The 15,129-nt window shown below is 46.8% G+C and overlaps 1 protein-coding gene across 47 annotated transcripts in view, besides 1 other annotated feature; it reads left to right on the forward strand.

Annotated features, from left to right (window-relative positions):
• ZNF536 (zinc finger protein 536) overlaps positions 1–15,129 on the forward strand; it is a 487,995-nt gene that overhangs the window by 284,831 nt on the left and 188,035 nt on the right. Inside the window, exon 1 of one of the 47 annotated variants that reach the window (XM_017027543.3) lies at positions 10–6,254. The exons of the other annotated variants lie outside the window; for them this stretch is intronic. Within the exon in view, the coding sequence (XP_016883032.1) occupies positions 6,218–6,254 (37 nt within the window). The 5' untranslated portion in view covers positions 10–6,217. Of the gene's footprint in view, positions 1–9; positions 6,255–15,129 lie in introns of those variants that run through there. 47 annotated transcript variants of the gene reach the window in all.
• Positions 1,612–2,933: an enhancer, noted in NCBI's record as "VISTA enhancer hs384". NCBI's record gives its function as "enhancer in: trigeminal V (ganglion, cranial)[3/5]" and the evidence as "EXISTENCE:transgenic organism evidence [ECO:0001131][PMID:17130149]".

Raw genomic sequence — 15,129 nt, forward strand, 5'->3', positions numbered from 1 at the left:
ACAGTCTGTGCTCCTGTCTTTGGGAGGAGTTTGCACAGCCCCTCTTTGGGAGGCTTCAACTTGCCCTGTTTTCTCTTTATTGTGGCAGATTGGGCAGTGATAGCTTTAGGGAGGAAGGCAGGTGGCAATGAGTTGCCCGCAGAGGCATTCTACAGAGACGCGGGGATCGCTGCTTCCCTCCTTCATGATGGGTCAGTGCTCCTCGATGTAGAGTGTTGGCCATTGACCTCTCCTCTATGGTTGCAAGGAAGCAGACATCAGAGCTTCCTGGAAAGCTAGAAGTAGGTGGCTCTCAGCCCAGATGCATCCTCACCTCTCTCCAAGGAGAAGGATATGTTCCCACTGTAGTTATCCTCATCGCCTTGGACTGGGAGACATGTCCTGCCTTCCCTCTTTGAATGCCGTCACATCAGAAGAGTGACATCTTCTTGTCCCCGACCTGAGATGCTGATCAGCATTGTAGCTTTGCATCCTTGGCAGGACCTGTGTCTGCTGCCATGAGTCTGTTGCCCGGGTCAGGCGTAGAGTGGGGATGGATATCATATCTCCCATTTGGCCTCCTCAGAGGCTGAGCCCTGGCTGGAGAACAAAGGAAATAACACTCTGAAGTGTGGGTGGAGTACAAGGATGACCATCACCACTTGAGATCGTTTCAAGCATCTTCAGTTTTCAGAGCCTGAATGGAGGGGAGCCGTGGGTAAGATGGGCTGCTCCTGGCAGAGCATCCGGAAGGTGATGTGGCTTGGCGAGGCTTTTTCCTTCCTTCCCCCACCAGACACCTTGCCCAGCTCTCAGCTCCTGCTCAAGAACTCTTTTCTCTGGTTCATCTCTCGCAGCTTGGGGCTCCTGACTCCTTCCCTTGTCTGATAGAATGTCACAGACCCCCAATATATTTTGTTTACATTAAAAGCTAATGCAGCTATGACGTGAAATTTTAATTTATACACAAACCATAAAAAAGCCTTCAGGTTCATGAATTCCTGATGAGGCAGAGACTAACAGTATATTTTGATATGTTTACAGTTTATGTTTTCCACTAAGAATATCTAGTTTGTGGGTCTGTCTGGGGTGCTAGTAAAAGAGGGGAAGGAATGGAACGAATTCAAGCAGTTGTCTCAGCCTTCATTGTGTCTGCGGCCATGGCAGGGTTTGAAAGCATTTTCGGGTATGAGCTGAAATTTGTTGTACTGCTTGGTGGTAAACAGACACGTAACTCACCCCCACAGCAGACATTAAAGTGTTACAAATTAACATACACATGTAAAATTTTAAATATAATTAATTTAGCAGATAGGACCTTGCAGTTGTCACATTATTATTTAAGTCGGATGCTTGGGGTGGCTCAGAGCTTACATGGGTGGGGTAAAATGCAAGGAGACCGTATGCACGTTAATGACAAGTTAACTTGTGTCTAGTTGAGACAATCACGAAGAATTAAACAAAGCTTTTAGAGGGTTTCTGGTGCTATTTATCCTTCCCCTCCCTAATTTTCATAACATAGATTTATAAAGGAAATTAGAAATGAGGCAGAGTCCATAAAGGGTCCTTGGAGGATAATCCATACATTTACATTAAGTATAATTCGATGTATCATCTACGTGCAAACTTTTGTCTGCAAAGCATATGGCAAAGCTTTTATGGATATACAGACTTTTATTTTAAACTTAAAATGATGAAAAGTTTCTGAGCTTCAGGATCCTCTTACTGGTGACTGGAGAAATTGTTGATCACATTTTTAAAATTCAGAGAATTAGAACCATAAAATATACTGCAAAACACAGAATTTAAAATGGTTGTTTTTCCAATGCCTGCAAAATTGTTTTATTAGGGGACTGCGGAACACCTGCCTTAAAATGTCGTTCAGAACATCTCCCGAATGTCGTTTTCCTTAATTGACTTGGAAATGGCCCAAATGTATTGCTGAATGCAGTCTAATTAATATTAATAATAAATGCCATTATTAACATCAAAGAACATCTGGTGCTCCTGTTTACTCTGAAGCCTTATATGTAACACATTTTGTGGCTGTTTCATCTTGCAAACATTGTGCAGTAAACAGTTTTTGCCATGCAGGTCAAAACAGACCCCTGTCCAAGCATAATGCATTATATTTAAAAAAAATCAAATATTTTCTTTGGGTCACATTCGTTGCTGTGATACGAGTGTGGGTTAGAGGTCCCTTGAGTAAACCATTTTGAAAAAAAAAAAAAGTGCTGCTCCCAGCATCTGTACATTGGCTACATTAGAGTTTTGTACAATAAATCAACCACTGAATAACTTTAATCTAAAATTTCATTAAGTAGTTCTTGTCAGGTAGTAAAGCTGGATAATGCAGTGCTGTTTAATGATAATTGGTGTTTGGTTAATAAATTCTGCAAGTTCGAATTACTTTCTAGCAATCTATAGAATGCAAGCCTCAGCAGTGTAACTAAACCTCAAATTGATTAACTTGCATGAACCAGGCGTTCACAAAGATGGCACTATTCCAAATAAAAAAGAGAACAGCGCATCAGCCGGATGGTGTTATGTTGCTCTGGAGTAAGGAAATAAATCCCCTCTGGGTGCATTTTTAAAAGCTTATGCCTTTGAAATGATGTCATCATATTTTATTTTTTTTTCTTTTCTTTCATATTTTCTTTATATGTACACACACTTAGGTCACCAGTTCACAAGACACGTGACACATTAGAATAATGGAAAGCATTTTTTTTATATCATAGAATCAAAACCACAAAACAATTTAGCTGGAAAGTATTATTGAAAGGGCGCCATTACCAGCAAGCTGCTGCTCTCTAGCAATTAATGGAAGCAGGGTGTGGCTAGATGAGGGTTTGCTGTTTCCTTCCTACATCTTGTGTGCGCAAGAAAATAAAATATAAGAGCCATTTGCAAGTGAAATCAGCGCCTAGGTTCTTGGAGTTGCGCTTAGGAGTCCTACATCCCAGGTGCAACGACCCTGCAGGACAGCAGGCACCTTTTTCTGGTGGGATTTGTATTTGGGATGGACATATTGGATTAAGTGCATGAATTATGTTGATCTTCTCTGTGCCCCCAACCCCGGTGACTCCTGTGACATTGGTGTCATTCAATCAGCAGTCTGTAATAGTTCCAAGTTAAAAATAACATTTATTAAATGTCTTGTAACACAAGAATCTGGTCTATGATGAAGAGAGGAAAACAAGGCATCTAATATCAGAAGAAATGAACCAGGCTACAACAGGGACAGACAGGGAGGTGTGTCTACCAGGTCCTCCACTCTAGACTAGAGTTGAAGGGTGGATGGAGGATTTACCCCAAATGTGGGACTCCAGAAACACAGCTCCCGGTGGTCACAACCAACTTGTTTTGGAGGTGGAGCAAGGTCCTGGTGGGAAGATTGGTGGAAGACCAGGTGCTTGGGATGTGTGAATGCTAGAACATTCTCCACCAAGCTGTTTCTTTCTCCCCTGCAGATGGGGGGATTTTGAAGGATTCTGAGACCCTCAAACTCAGGGCTGAGCAGTTTATCAGCATCTGTGTGCACTGACTGGTGAGGGGCACGTTGGGTGCTGTGTGGGACACACGAGAGCCCATTGGCTTTCTGTGTGGGGGAGCAATGCACCAGCTCAGTGAGACCTGGCGAGCCAGGTCCTGTTTCTACCTGCCTCAGAGTGGTCCTTGACCCGTGGCAGGCTTTGCTTTGCTTTTGAAGCTGAGCAGATTGTGCCAAATGGCGTATGTTTTCAAAGTGATTCCCCTAAGGAGAGGAGCACAGACCTCAGACACACCCCTTCTACTAGCCTCCATAGATTATTCAATTGAAGCAGTTTGTCCACATCCAACTGGGTGGTTAGGGAGAGGTTATTCAATTTACTCCCACCCTCAAAAAAATCAAAAAGTCTGTTTTCACCCTGAGCCTCCCCTTAATCTCGTTGATGTGGCAGGGGTGGCATGCTGGGTTTCGCATGCTCTCTTTCTGATTGGTTTTCTGGTAATTATTTTACAATGGTGGTGTCTGGAAGCCAGAACCCCTGGGTCCTGCAGGGGGGTCAAAGAGACTCACAGGGAGATGAGAAATGGTGTGACTGTGTTGGAGCAAAGAAAGATGACCAAGTAGAAGAGTGACCAGTAGACGGGAAGACCCAGTGTCCCAACCTGCAGGAGGACCTTACCTCTCTTTTCCAGGACTTTATGCAGCTCTTCTGGTGGCTTTTCTTGGGGCATCAAGACCAGCTTCTTCTGCTTGATTCCAGAGGGCACCACCCCTACCCCACCATACCTGCCCCTCCAGGCTGTGCTTCCATGCTGCATGCACAAAGCACCTGTCTTGGCCTCCACATCCAGAAACTCTTCTCATCCCTTCATCTCCATATTGTACTTGCAACGTGAGGACCCCTCATTGTTGACTCCGGCTCTGGGTAGCTTGCAGAGCTCAGTATCAGGAATCCAGTGACCTTGACTCCAGTCTGCTCTGTCCTTACTAGCTGTGTGAGCCTGGATTTGTAATTCAACCTCTGTAAGCCTCAGTTTTCTCATCTGTACATTGGAGATAATAAAACTCTGTGGCCCAGCGTGGTGGCTCACACCTGTAATCCCAGCACTTTGGGAGGCCGAGATGGGAGGATCATTTGATGAGCCCAGGCGTTTGAGACCAGCACGGGCAACATGGCAAGACCCCATCTCTACAAAAAACACCAGAAAAAACTAAAAATTAGTTGGGTGTGGTGACTCACACCTGTAGTCCCTGCTACTTGGGAGCCTGAGATGGGAGGATCACTTGAGCCCAGGAGTTCAAGGTTAGAGTGAGTTATGATCGTACCACTGCACTCCAGCCTGGGCACCAGAGTGAGACCCTGTCTCAAAAAATAACCCAAAATATAACAACAACTTCTGCCCCAAAGGGCTGTTGTGAGGATGGATTTAGACAATGCTTTGAAAGCACATAGAATGTGCTCGATTAATGTTAACTGCTATTGAAGTAGTTATCGTTTATGATAAGAGTTCAGATTTTATTATTATTATCACCATTACTTTTAGTATATTTATTTTGCTCTCCCTGGTGCATGTGAAGCGCCTTCAGGATAAAAACCTGAATCATCCTCATGGGAAGTGTCCCGTGCTGTTAGGACAGAGTAGGATCTCAGACAGCGCTCTATGATCACAGCAGCAGGAAGGCACCTCAGGAAGCCATTGGTAAAACACAGGGGCTTTCTCGGTCTTATACCTTAGCCAGAAATCCACAGTGGACAATATAGAAGCAGATACAAAATTGTTCCTGGCCTTCCTCTTCTTAATGGAATCTCCCAGAAGTAAAATAAGAATGCCCATTGCTCTAGGCCAGGCGTGGTGGCTCACCCCTATAATCTATAATCCCAGAACTTTGGGAGGCCAAGGTGCACAGATCACCCGAGGTCAGGAGTTCGAGACCAGCCTGGCCAACATGGTGAAACCCTATCTCTACTAAAAAATGCAAAAATTAGCAGGGCGTGGTGGGAGGTGCCTGTATTCCCAGCTACTCGTGGGGCTGAGGCAGGAGAATCGTTTGAACCCAGGAGGCGGAGGTTGTAGTGAGCCGAGTTCATGCCACTGCACTCCAGCCTGGGTGACAGAGTGAGACTCCATCTCAAAAAAAAAAAAAAAAGAAAAAAAAGCAATAAAGAAAGAAAAGAAAAAAGAATGCCCAGTGCTCAGTTGAGAATCCTACATAGGCCCAGAGATTTATCCACAGAGAGACAAGGGCAGAAGGGAAAATTGGGTGGACATGTTTGCTGTGGTCTAATTGCTCTAAGATGAATGAGGACCATAGAGAGAACTAGGTACCTCACCACAAGATGCAAACATCAGCCAGGAAGGACCCAGGTGCCTCCTTTGCCGTCCTCCGTCCTCCTGGGCAGCTTCTCCCTGCACGGACCAGCCGGCCTGGTGTGTGTCTCCACGGCACTGAACCTGTGCAGGGCAGGCTCTCCATGAATATTTGCTGGCTGAATGAATGAACTCAGGGGCAACAGGAAAAGGACAACGTTCAAGCCAACACTAGGGACATAAACTTAAGTGAGACAATGAGGCCAGAAAGTCTAAAGTGTTTTCTGTCACTTGGTCAGATCTTTCTTTCTCCTTGAAGAAGCCCTATGAAGAAAGCCCTGGAGGAGATGATAATGGCGCCTTTCACCACGGAAAGGTCAACCCACATGTGTTCATTGAGTGACTCTGTGGGCCAGCCCTTCGCTCGGCTCTGTTGATGATTACGAGACAGGCAAACCCACGGGGTACTCTTGGTAAGTAGGCTGGAATCAAAACACATGAGAAAAATTAGTGAGCATTCCAAAGCAGCATGTCATTGTATAGAAATGTTCAGAAAAGGTTTAGAGACGGAGTGTGCCGGGAGGCCAGGCGAGGCTTCGTGGCGGCAGTGGAAGTGCGAGGCTTCGTGGCGAGGCTTCGTGAAGTGGTGATGAGAAACGCTTGAAAGGCAGGGAGGAGAAGGTCGGGCCTTCTAAACTTGGAGAAGATAGGGGAAGGCCAGGTGTGGTGACAGATCCCAAGGCCAGTGCAGCAGTGAAGAAATGTGTCACTGTCCCCTTGGCTCAGGCCCAGCCACCGAGTCCTGGGACGTGATCTTTACATCGCCTGGTTCTCTGGTTGATCCATCTTTCCCTCTGATCACTGCCCTTCCTCCTGGGGCCTTTTTGAAATCTGACTCAGGTTCTGAGCACACGTTTCAGCATTTCTGGATGCAATTTGGTATCATAGCGAAGAATCAAAGGGTATTTGCTATCACTTGAAAGTCTGTTTCTCTCCCTCTTCCTCTGAGTACCTGACCCCACAATCATCACTGGCTTTGAAATAACAGACCCATCATAATTACGAGAATTAGTCTGGAGGCTTCTGCCTTATTTGCCTAACTGAGATTATTAAGGCCGTTTTTAGAGGTGGAAAGGGCTCCCAGGATCATCTCGGCTGAGATGGCAAATTCAGAGAGATGCCTGCAGGGTGGGGGCCAGCCAGGTAGTGAGGGTGGGGAAGGGGCCCGGTGGGGAGGACGCATCCACTGCCCAGCCCATCAACCCTTGCTCTTTGGGCCCATGGGCTCAGCATTGGGAGATAACACAGTTTCTCAGGAGAAGCTGGAAATGCTGACCATGTGTGAGTGAAATGTCCCAAATTTGTATATGTTAAAAACAAACTTATAGCCTGCGTGACATAGTGAAATCCTGTCTCTACAAAAAATTTACAAAATTAGCTGGGTGTGGCGGTGCATACGCCCCAGCTACTTGGGAGGCTGACACGGGAGGATTGTTGGAGCCCAGGAGGTCGAGGCTGCAGTGAGCCATGATCACACCACTGCATTCCAGCCTGGGCAACAGAGCAAGATCCTGTCTCAAAAAAATAATAAATACATACATACATACAAACAAAAAAACAAATTTAACACATGAAAACCCTGTGTGATTAAACCTTTGCATCTCAATTAGAGTCCTCTGCCCCCATTCCATGATTTGGGGGTGCAAACAGAAGCCCCGAAATAGGAAAGGACTTGGGCGAGGTCATTAACGTGGTGGGCACAGCGTGTACCTACCCCCTCCTTTGCCAGGTCCGCAGAGTTATCTACAGAGGTCAGTCTAGCACCCTCCCATTAGCCTGCTGCTTGAACTGTCTCCTTCTTTCCAGAAACTTCTGCATGCCAGTGACCAGATCAGCCTCTCTGTGGCTTTGAACCCAGGGTGCAGAAGCCTGATCCAGTCAATGCTCCAAGCACGGTCCAGCCATCACCTCGCAGCTGGCCCTGTCACCTCCTGTTGCAGGCGAAGGGGCAGCAGCAACCTGGCAGCCCTGGGCAGCTGGCAGGAAGGGCCAAGCACTTACGAAGGGTAGCTTCAGTGTTCTTACAGGGTATTAAAGGAATACAGCGAGAGTTAATGCAAAACTCCTTCTTTGACTTAATTTATTATAATATATGTGGCTAAAATGTAGATCACACTGCTGTGTTGGATCTCCGTTTTGATTCCCAAAATTGCAATCATGATAGTGGATTATAACCGTGCTCTAACACATAGATGAGGAAATGTATTCCTGTGCAATTTTCCCCGAAGGAGAAGTCAGAGGATAAGGGGCAGGAGTTTTGAATAACCTTGCAACATTTAGTTGTCTCTCTCAATTATAGGATAGAAATTAGCATCCCAGGATGATGTGCGTGTGTACGCAGCACCGCTTTGAATATTAGTGCAGAAGGACATCTGAGGGAATGGAGAAAATGATTTTCCATATGAAAGAAAAAGTCACTGGTATCGAATCGAGCAATGTGATGTTGCCTTTTATTCAGTAAGTGCCTACTATGTGCTGGGCACCTAGCTAAAGGTTGGGGGTGCCACCGTAAACCAGACAGACCACAGGTTTGCCATGGAAGTGAGCCTTAGCAGTCAGTGTTGGGTGATGCCCAAAAAGGAGTGAACCAGGGCAGAGGGATGGGGGTGCAGGGATGGGGGAGCTATGGGAGAGCCTGGATTGCAGGCTGAGGGAAAGAAACATCCCGGGAGCAGCACGCAGATGGGAAAGCCAAGTTTGCTTCCTTGTTCTGGTGGTGCGTGCAGAGCATCCGTGTGGCGGGATGCCCCCAAGAACATACATCTGGGCGGACTTTCTCCTCAGGCCCAGAGACTCAGCAGAAGTACCCAGGCAGAACGAACGGCCTGAGGTGCTGCCCCAGGGCCTGGACTCTGCAGTCTCCACCAGCAACGGTTCAAGGCCAACACCTGCGCAGCCTATCGCGTCCCAAGGTTCTGTTGGCCCAAATCAAGCCACCTGCCTCCCCCAGCCCAGCTCTGGGGTGGGGCTCCCAAGAGCCACCAGCCTTGCTGCAAAATAGGATTGAATTTCTGTGTGGATGTCGAGCCCTGGCTGGGGCAGGTGTGGACAGGGAAGGGCCCTGTGGCAGGAGGGACTGGAAGCTTTGCACAGCACCTTGGGGCAGGTGAGGCTGGGAAGACCAAGCTGACTTCTCCTTGCCCTCCACGGGGTTGTGCTCTGGCAGTGGGAGCCCTGCACTCTCTCAAGGAGAGCCTGGAGGAGCTGCAGTCTGCAGCTGCAAGAGGAGGGGGCTGGACTGATGGACCACAAGGGAATGGAGCCCTGGGATACCAGACACCAGATTCCCCACGTCCAGCTTTCCTTCCTGGAGAGAGCCTGTGGCAGCCTGTCCACTCACAGACACAGGCCACCTGGACCCACTGCCAGGCCCCACACCCTGGAAGGGCAGGTCAGAGGTGGCTAGTTATGTACTTAAAAGGAAAAGGCAGACTTCTTAGATTGCATGATCATGGAAGGGTGGCCAGCCCTCCCCAACACCATTCATTCATTCATTCATTCATTCGGCTGGTCACCAGTATTTATTGAACACACTGTGCCAGGAGGCTCTAAGGGACACAAGAGTGAGAAAAACAGACCCCATCCCAGCCTTCAAAGAGGTGGCAGTTTGGTGGCAGAGACAGATATTAATCACACATATACGCTCAGTGCAAACTCTGAGAAATGTCCTGAAGGTTAAATTCTGGGATGATTGGGCAGACCTGACTTAGTCTGGAAGATGAGAGCAAATGACATTGGAGCTGAACCCTCAAACATGAGTGGGATTAACCAGGCAAGATGCAGGTGGTGGGCCTGGGGCTGGTGTTTGGGGTTTGCATTTCAGGAAGAGGGAACAGTATGTGTTGAGATTCTGAGGTCCAACAGAGAGAGAAATTTCTGGCCCGGTGGGCCAGTAGGGCCAGCTCTGGGATTTTTAAGGCATTTCAGGATGAGAGGAAACATTTCTTAGATCTCATTGCAGTCCCAAGTTCCTGAAGCTCTTAAATTCTTTTTCAATATCAGGGCATGTGTTCTCGGGGTAGGGGATGAGCCAGCCAGGGGGCTTCCCGGGTGCAAGCCCCCAGCGTGTAGGACTGAAGGGCCCTGGGACCTGTGTAGTTGTGGATGAATGGGGAGCTCTTTGGAGATGTTGAGAGACCAATGGGATGCTGAGGCCTGAGCTTCTACCTGCTGTCTGCTTCTTTCTCCCTGTCATCCCAGTGCCCACATCCCCCCAGGTCCTCATACCCCCAACTCCTTCACCTACTCCCCTCAAAGGGGTGTTTGGAGGATAATACCAAGTAAGCTCTAATTTCTGGGTTAGACAATGTGGGAGAGAGTGAAGATGTGTTATGTCTACATGGAGTTCCTACTCAGGGCTCGGTGGTGCTTGGCATTAGGAAACCTTGTTGATCATGCAGGGGGAGGGGCTGACCATTTTGGAGGATCCTATGGTGACTCCATGACATGGATCACCACCTGCTGGTTTGCTGTTTTATGCTGGTTTACCTTTTTCATACTTTAGACCTTGTAGATGGTGGGGTTGGGAGGCTACCAATTGGGACTCTGCTGGATGACCTTTTGTCCACAGTAGGAGGCCTTATTCCCATGTCATAGGCAGTGTTTGGAGGCTGGGCGAAGGTAGGAGGCATTTACAAACACACAGCTCGGAAGTGGCCTCACCAGACGGAGCCCAGAGCCGGCCATTGCCTGGTCAGTGGCTTCCCCACTCTGCCACGCAGGGTTTAAAGTGCATGCAGCTTTGCAAGCCCATTGCCTCATGAAGCACTCAGACCCTCTGTGACTGGCACCATTCTCCAGTGATCCAACTTTACCAACAAGGAAATGAAGGCTCATGAAGCTTTGGCGCTTTGCTCAGGACCACAGAGCCAGTGCTAGCAGAGTTTAGATTCAGACTTGGCTCCCGGAGTCCCTTGGTGTTTTGAGGTGCTCGAATGCCCAGGCAAGCCTGTTCAGGCAGCATTAAAAGTGGCCCGTGTGTCTCCCTGTGTTGAGGAGGATTGGGCCATCTCTGTGCATGTCTGGGGGCTGTGGGGACACTTTGCTCAGCTACCTGCTGCTCCCCTTCCCTGAAAAGCAAGGGCTGCTATTCTTGCCTGCTTCTTCTGGGGGGCTTGTTGGAGGACACACTCATCTTGGGATCCTTGTCTCTGGTCTGAATTTCTTTGGACCAGTCTATGGGATTCCCAGACTTTGGGAAGTTCCCATTGAGAATTTGCCAGACTTGTTATTTTCATCTGTGATCACAAGAAAAACAAGCAAACTTGACCTTCCTCCTGGAAGCTGCTACCCAGGAGGCTAGTCCTGGAGCTAGGTCAGTTCATTTATTAAAGCATTCATTTATTCACCCCATTTGGGGTGAATATTGGCTGGACACCGGCCACGTGCAAAGTATGGAGGAGGAGGAACCTCAGCCCTTGTCCTTTGCACTTTACAGGCTAGAAGGAAAGCTGGTGTCAAAGAAGAACAAAATTCAAGCCCTGTATCTAGCCAGAGAAGCCAGCTGGGGGCCACTTGGGATGGGACCAGGTGCTAACCGCGGTGATAACTGGGAGTGACGTGGCCTGACTTATAATCAAGAAAGGTCACCCATGTGGATATATCAGAAGAAAACAAAGTTGCCTCTCAGGAACTACCAGGAATAAATTTACACTCCTCTCAGTCTCTACAAGGGGAAACACAGTGAAAACTTAGCTAAAAGTGTCACAGTTGTATTGTGTAAACTACACTGCCCTTCAAGCAGCATGGGACATCACACTGCCAGGGACACGAACACTGGACCGGGAGGGCCATTCGCAGGGCACCACCCAGGGCTTCTGTTGGTCTGCAGGTACCAAGACAATGGACAGTGGAGTGGCCTCAGCTGTCTCCTTGGCTCCTCTGCTCTGTGGCCTGAGCCAGACCTGAAGGTTTTGTCCTTTGGAAGTCCACCAGCTGGGAACAGGTCTCCAGAAAGATCCATGTGCCTGTGCCTGATTGGCAGAGCTGGATATATATACATATATATATACATATATATAATATATATATAATTTTTTGCTAATTTTAATGTCAACTGAAGTATTTATTACTACAAGATATTGAAGGGTTCAGCATTTATTCAAAAAAATTTTTTAAGCTGATCCAAGGATTGCGTTCATCTGATATGTTCTCAAATGAAAAGGGCTAGATAAGTCAGTGCAGCTCAAAAATGGCAGTAACTTCAGAGCTGGCAATTGACACTTGTTTTCTGCCACTGTTTACTCTTCAATAAAAAATGCATATTTACCATAGCAACCTCCTGATCACGTGGAGCCCTATCCTACATGCGACCCTCTAAAACAGAATAGCTTCTTAAAGGAACACACACATCCTAATAGGCATGCTTTTCAGATGCAAAAACGTGTTCTTTATAAGGAAGCCCTCTTTCCTGGGATTTAGTGCTAATAAACATGTCATCCTTGTAGAAATCATTTTGGTCCCCTGTCTTAAATTTTAAGATGTTCATTCTGGAAATCCAAATAAAATTACTCTTGGAGGGGCTTTCAATTATCTTAAGGATTTGTTGATTATTTATTTTAATATGGTTCTAAATATATATATTTGTGTTTATACATGCACATAGGTATATATATTTTAAACAGCAACCGTTAGTATCATCTGGAAGGGAGTTTGGTGCAGATTCTAACGACCTGCCGCTTCATCTGTGATTAAAGATTGTCATCTATGCGAAGCTCAGTGGCAGCCTGAATTGTTTTTTACTGTTAACTTGGGAGGATTGCCTGGGGTTTTAGAGCTTTGGAGGAGCTGCCCCAACTGGACTTTTCAGGGAAGGATCATGTCCCCTCATGCTGGCACTTTGTATGTGTCTGATTCCATAGCTTGGAGCTGGCTTGGGGTTGGCGCGGGGGCACTGCCAGGGACACGAACACTGAAAGCTGCTACTCAGGAGGCTAGTCCTGGAGCTAAAACCACAGATCTGCCCCCTCCCCATGCCATCTTTACATATGACGCGTTGCTTTGGCAATATTCATGTTGAAAGCCACTATTAATTGGAGCATAACCTCCATCAGGCACCATGCTAAGTGATTTATATACCTTAGACTCTACAATCCTTTGAGACATGAATTCTTGTGACTATTCCCGTTTTGCAGATAAGGAAACCAAGCCTCAGAGAGGTTATGTAATTTGCCCAGGATTACACGCCTAAGACCTGGGGAACTTGGTTTTGACCTGGGGCTTTTGGACTGCAAACCTCTCCGCTTATTCTGTCTTCTGAACCTGTCTGTCAGATTTAGCTCTGGAAGGACAAGTGGCGACAAGATGGAGAAGCCTTTGGAGATAGGGACAGTGACAGTGGCTTCCCTCTCAGAATGCTTCCTCCAGAGATTCCTGGGTACTCTCAGTTTCAGCAGAGATTTGTGGAACTCTTTTCATACTCTGATTTTTTTTTTTAATGCCTGCACCTGGCAGTCAGGCACCCTTCCCCTGTGCTGGGCTGAAGTCAGGGCTGGAGTGCCAAGGGTCTCTGGATGCCACAGCCCCAGGGAGAGGTGGTATGGCTGTGTGACCACAAGTGTGGTCAATGCCTCTCTGAGGCACCACTGTAGGCTAAGGAGGCATCCCAGCCGGGCCTGGTGGATTTTTAGTTTCTTTCAATGTGAGAAACAAGAACGTATTTGTGAGTCTGTTATGCTTAGTGGCTTTGGGGCAAAATCCGATTGTGAAGTGAAGCTGGGTTCTCCATGGCACAGAGGCATTGTGACCTGCACTCCACGGAGGGGCATTGCCCCCACCCCGTGCCCAGGCCAGCCAATCCGACGGCGGCAGGCTCACAAGCCATTTCATAATTATCCATCACGAATGCCTCCATGCCGCCCTAATAGATTATTTAAAATGGTGTGTGTGTCTCTCATGCAACCTCAAGTCAGCCCCAAACTGTACATGCGTACAGCCTGGGAGAGGTAATTGTTTATCATGTATCTCTTTGTTGCAGACACTTTTATAAAAGAGTATGTATTATGTATGGTGTGACCTTCAAATGTCAGGAATGTGTTTTGCAATAAACTGTCAATATTTGTGGTTATAAGGTACTAGATGACTTTTACAATAATTGGAACGGCTATATTAAAAGCTGGGATCACTCGGCTGGTTAAAGAGAAAGACACAGGCCAGCGTTCATCAGGGACTTGCCTTCTGCCAACTATTAAATGAAAGATAGTGCAAGGTGCTCAAGATGTCTTCTTTGTTTAAAAAAGAATATGGCAAGACACATCTCTAGGGGAGGCGTTATCTCCAAATCATCCCTTCTCCTTTCAGTGTGCTCAATTCCCAGGAGAAAACTCAACTCCGCAAGTTATAGTGACTGACCAAATACATTTTAAAAAAGATTGGTCCAGTTTGTTCCTGGTGTCATTTAGGTAAGAATTCCTGGAGTCAGATCTTCCATCTTCTCCCCTCCTCCACCCCCACCCAAACAGGAGGGGCTGTAAATTATCTTAAGAGGATCTTAAAAGCTATAGTGTTCTTTTTTTCTTTCTTAGTAAAATAAATTACGTAGACATCTTTTGGGAATTTATGCTTTAGTGAAAGTAGAGGCTTATACTATAATTTTCATTTTTTGTTTAAAGAAAGGAGTACTTAATTTAAATTATGAAGAAGCAAAGGCATAACAAATATTTTATTATAATTATTATAGTAATTGGATCATAGATTACATTAAAAATATCTGTTTCACTATGCTCTTCTATGGGTGAGTATCTCTTTATGCTTATGTGAAGTCGTTTCTCCTTATGATAGTCAGATCTTCGTTTTTAACCAGGAAGGAATTGAGTAAATGAAATGGGGAAAGGGGCCTCACACTTTAGTCTTCTAAGGAGCTCTCTTGTGGCCTTGCTGATTATAATTGTGTGTTTGTGGTTCCTTCCACCTGGATGGAGGGAGAACTGGGTGACACCCTGAGGCCCCTTCCTCCAGGAAGCCTCCCTGGACATCCCCAGGCCTCCTCACCCTGCAATCATCCAACTCCAGCACCTGCATGCGCTGAACACTCTGGAGCACTTCCGATGTTTTGACGGTGCCCTGGACTATTTCTCCCCACCAGCTGCTCAAAGTAGCTTCCCTCTCATAGTCAGGAACTGGTCTTAATATCTGAATTCCAACTTGCTTGCCTTCCCTGATGCTTTTATTTGTTGAAAAAGTATTTATAAAGCACCTGCTATGAGCTGAGGACGTCTCGCATGCTAGAAATGTCACGGCAGGCCATAGTGCCTGGCCCCTGTTCTCCTGGAGCTGACATTCTAGGAAGGG

The sequence above is a fragment of the Homo sapiens genome, chromosome 19 (genome assembly GCF_000001405.40).
Source record: "Homo sapiens chromosome 19, GRCh38.p14 Primary Assembly".
Lineage (NCBI taxonomy): Eukaryota > Metazoa > Chordata > Mammalia > Primates > Hominidae > Homo > Homo sapiens.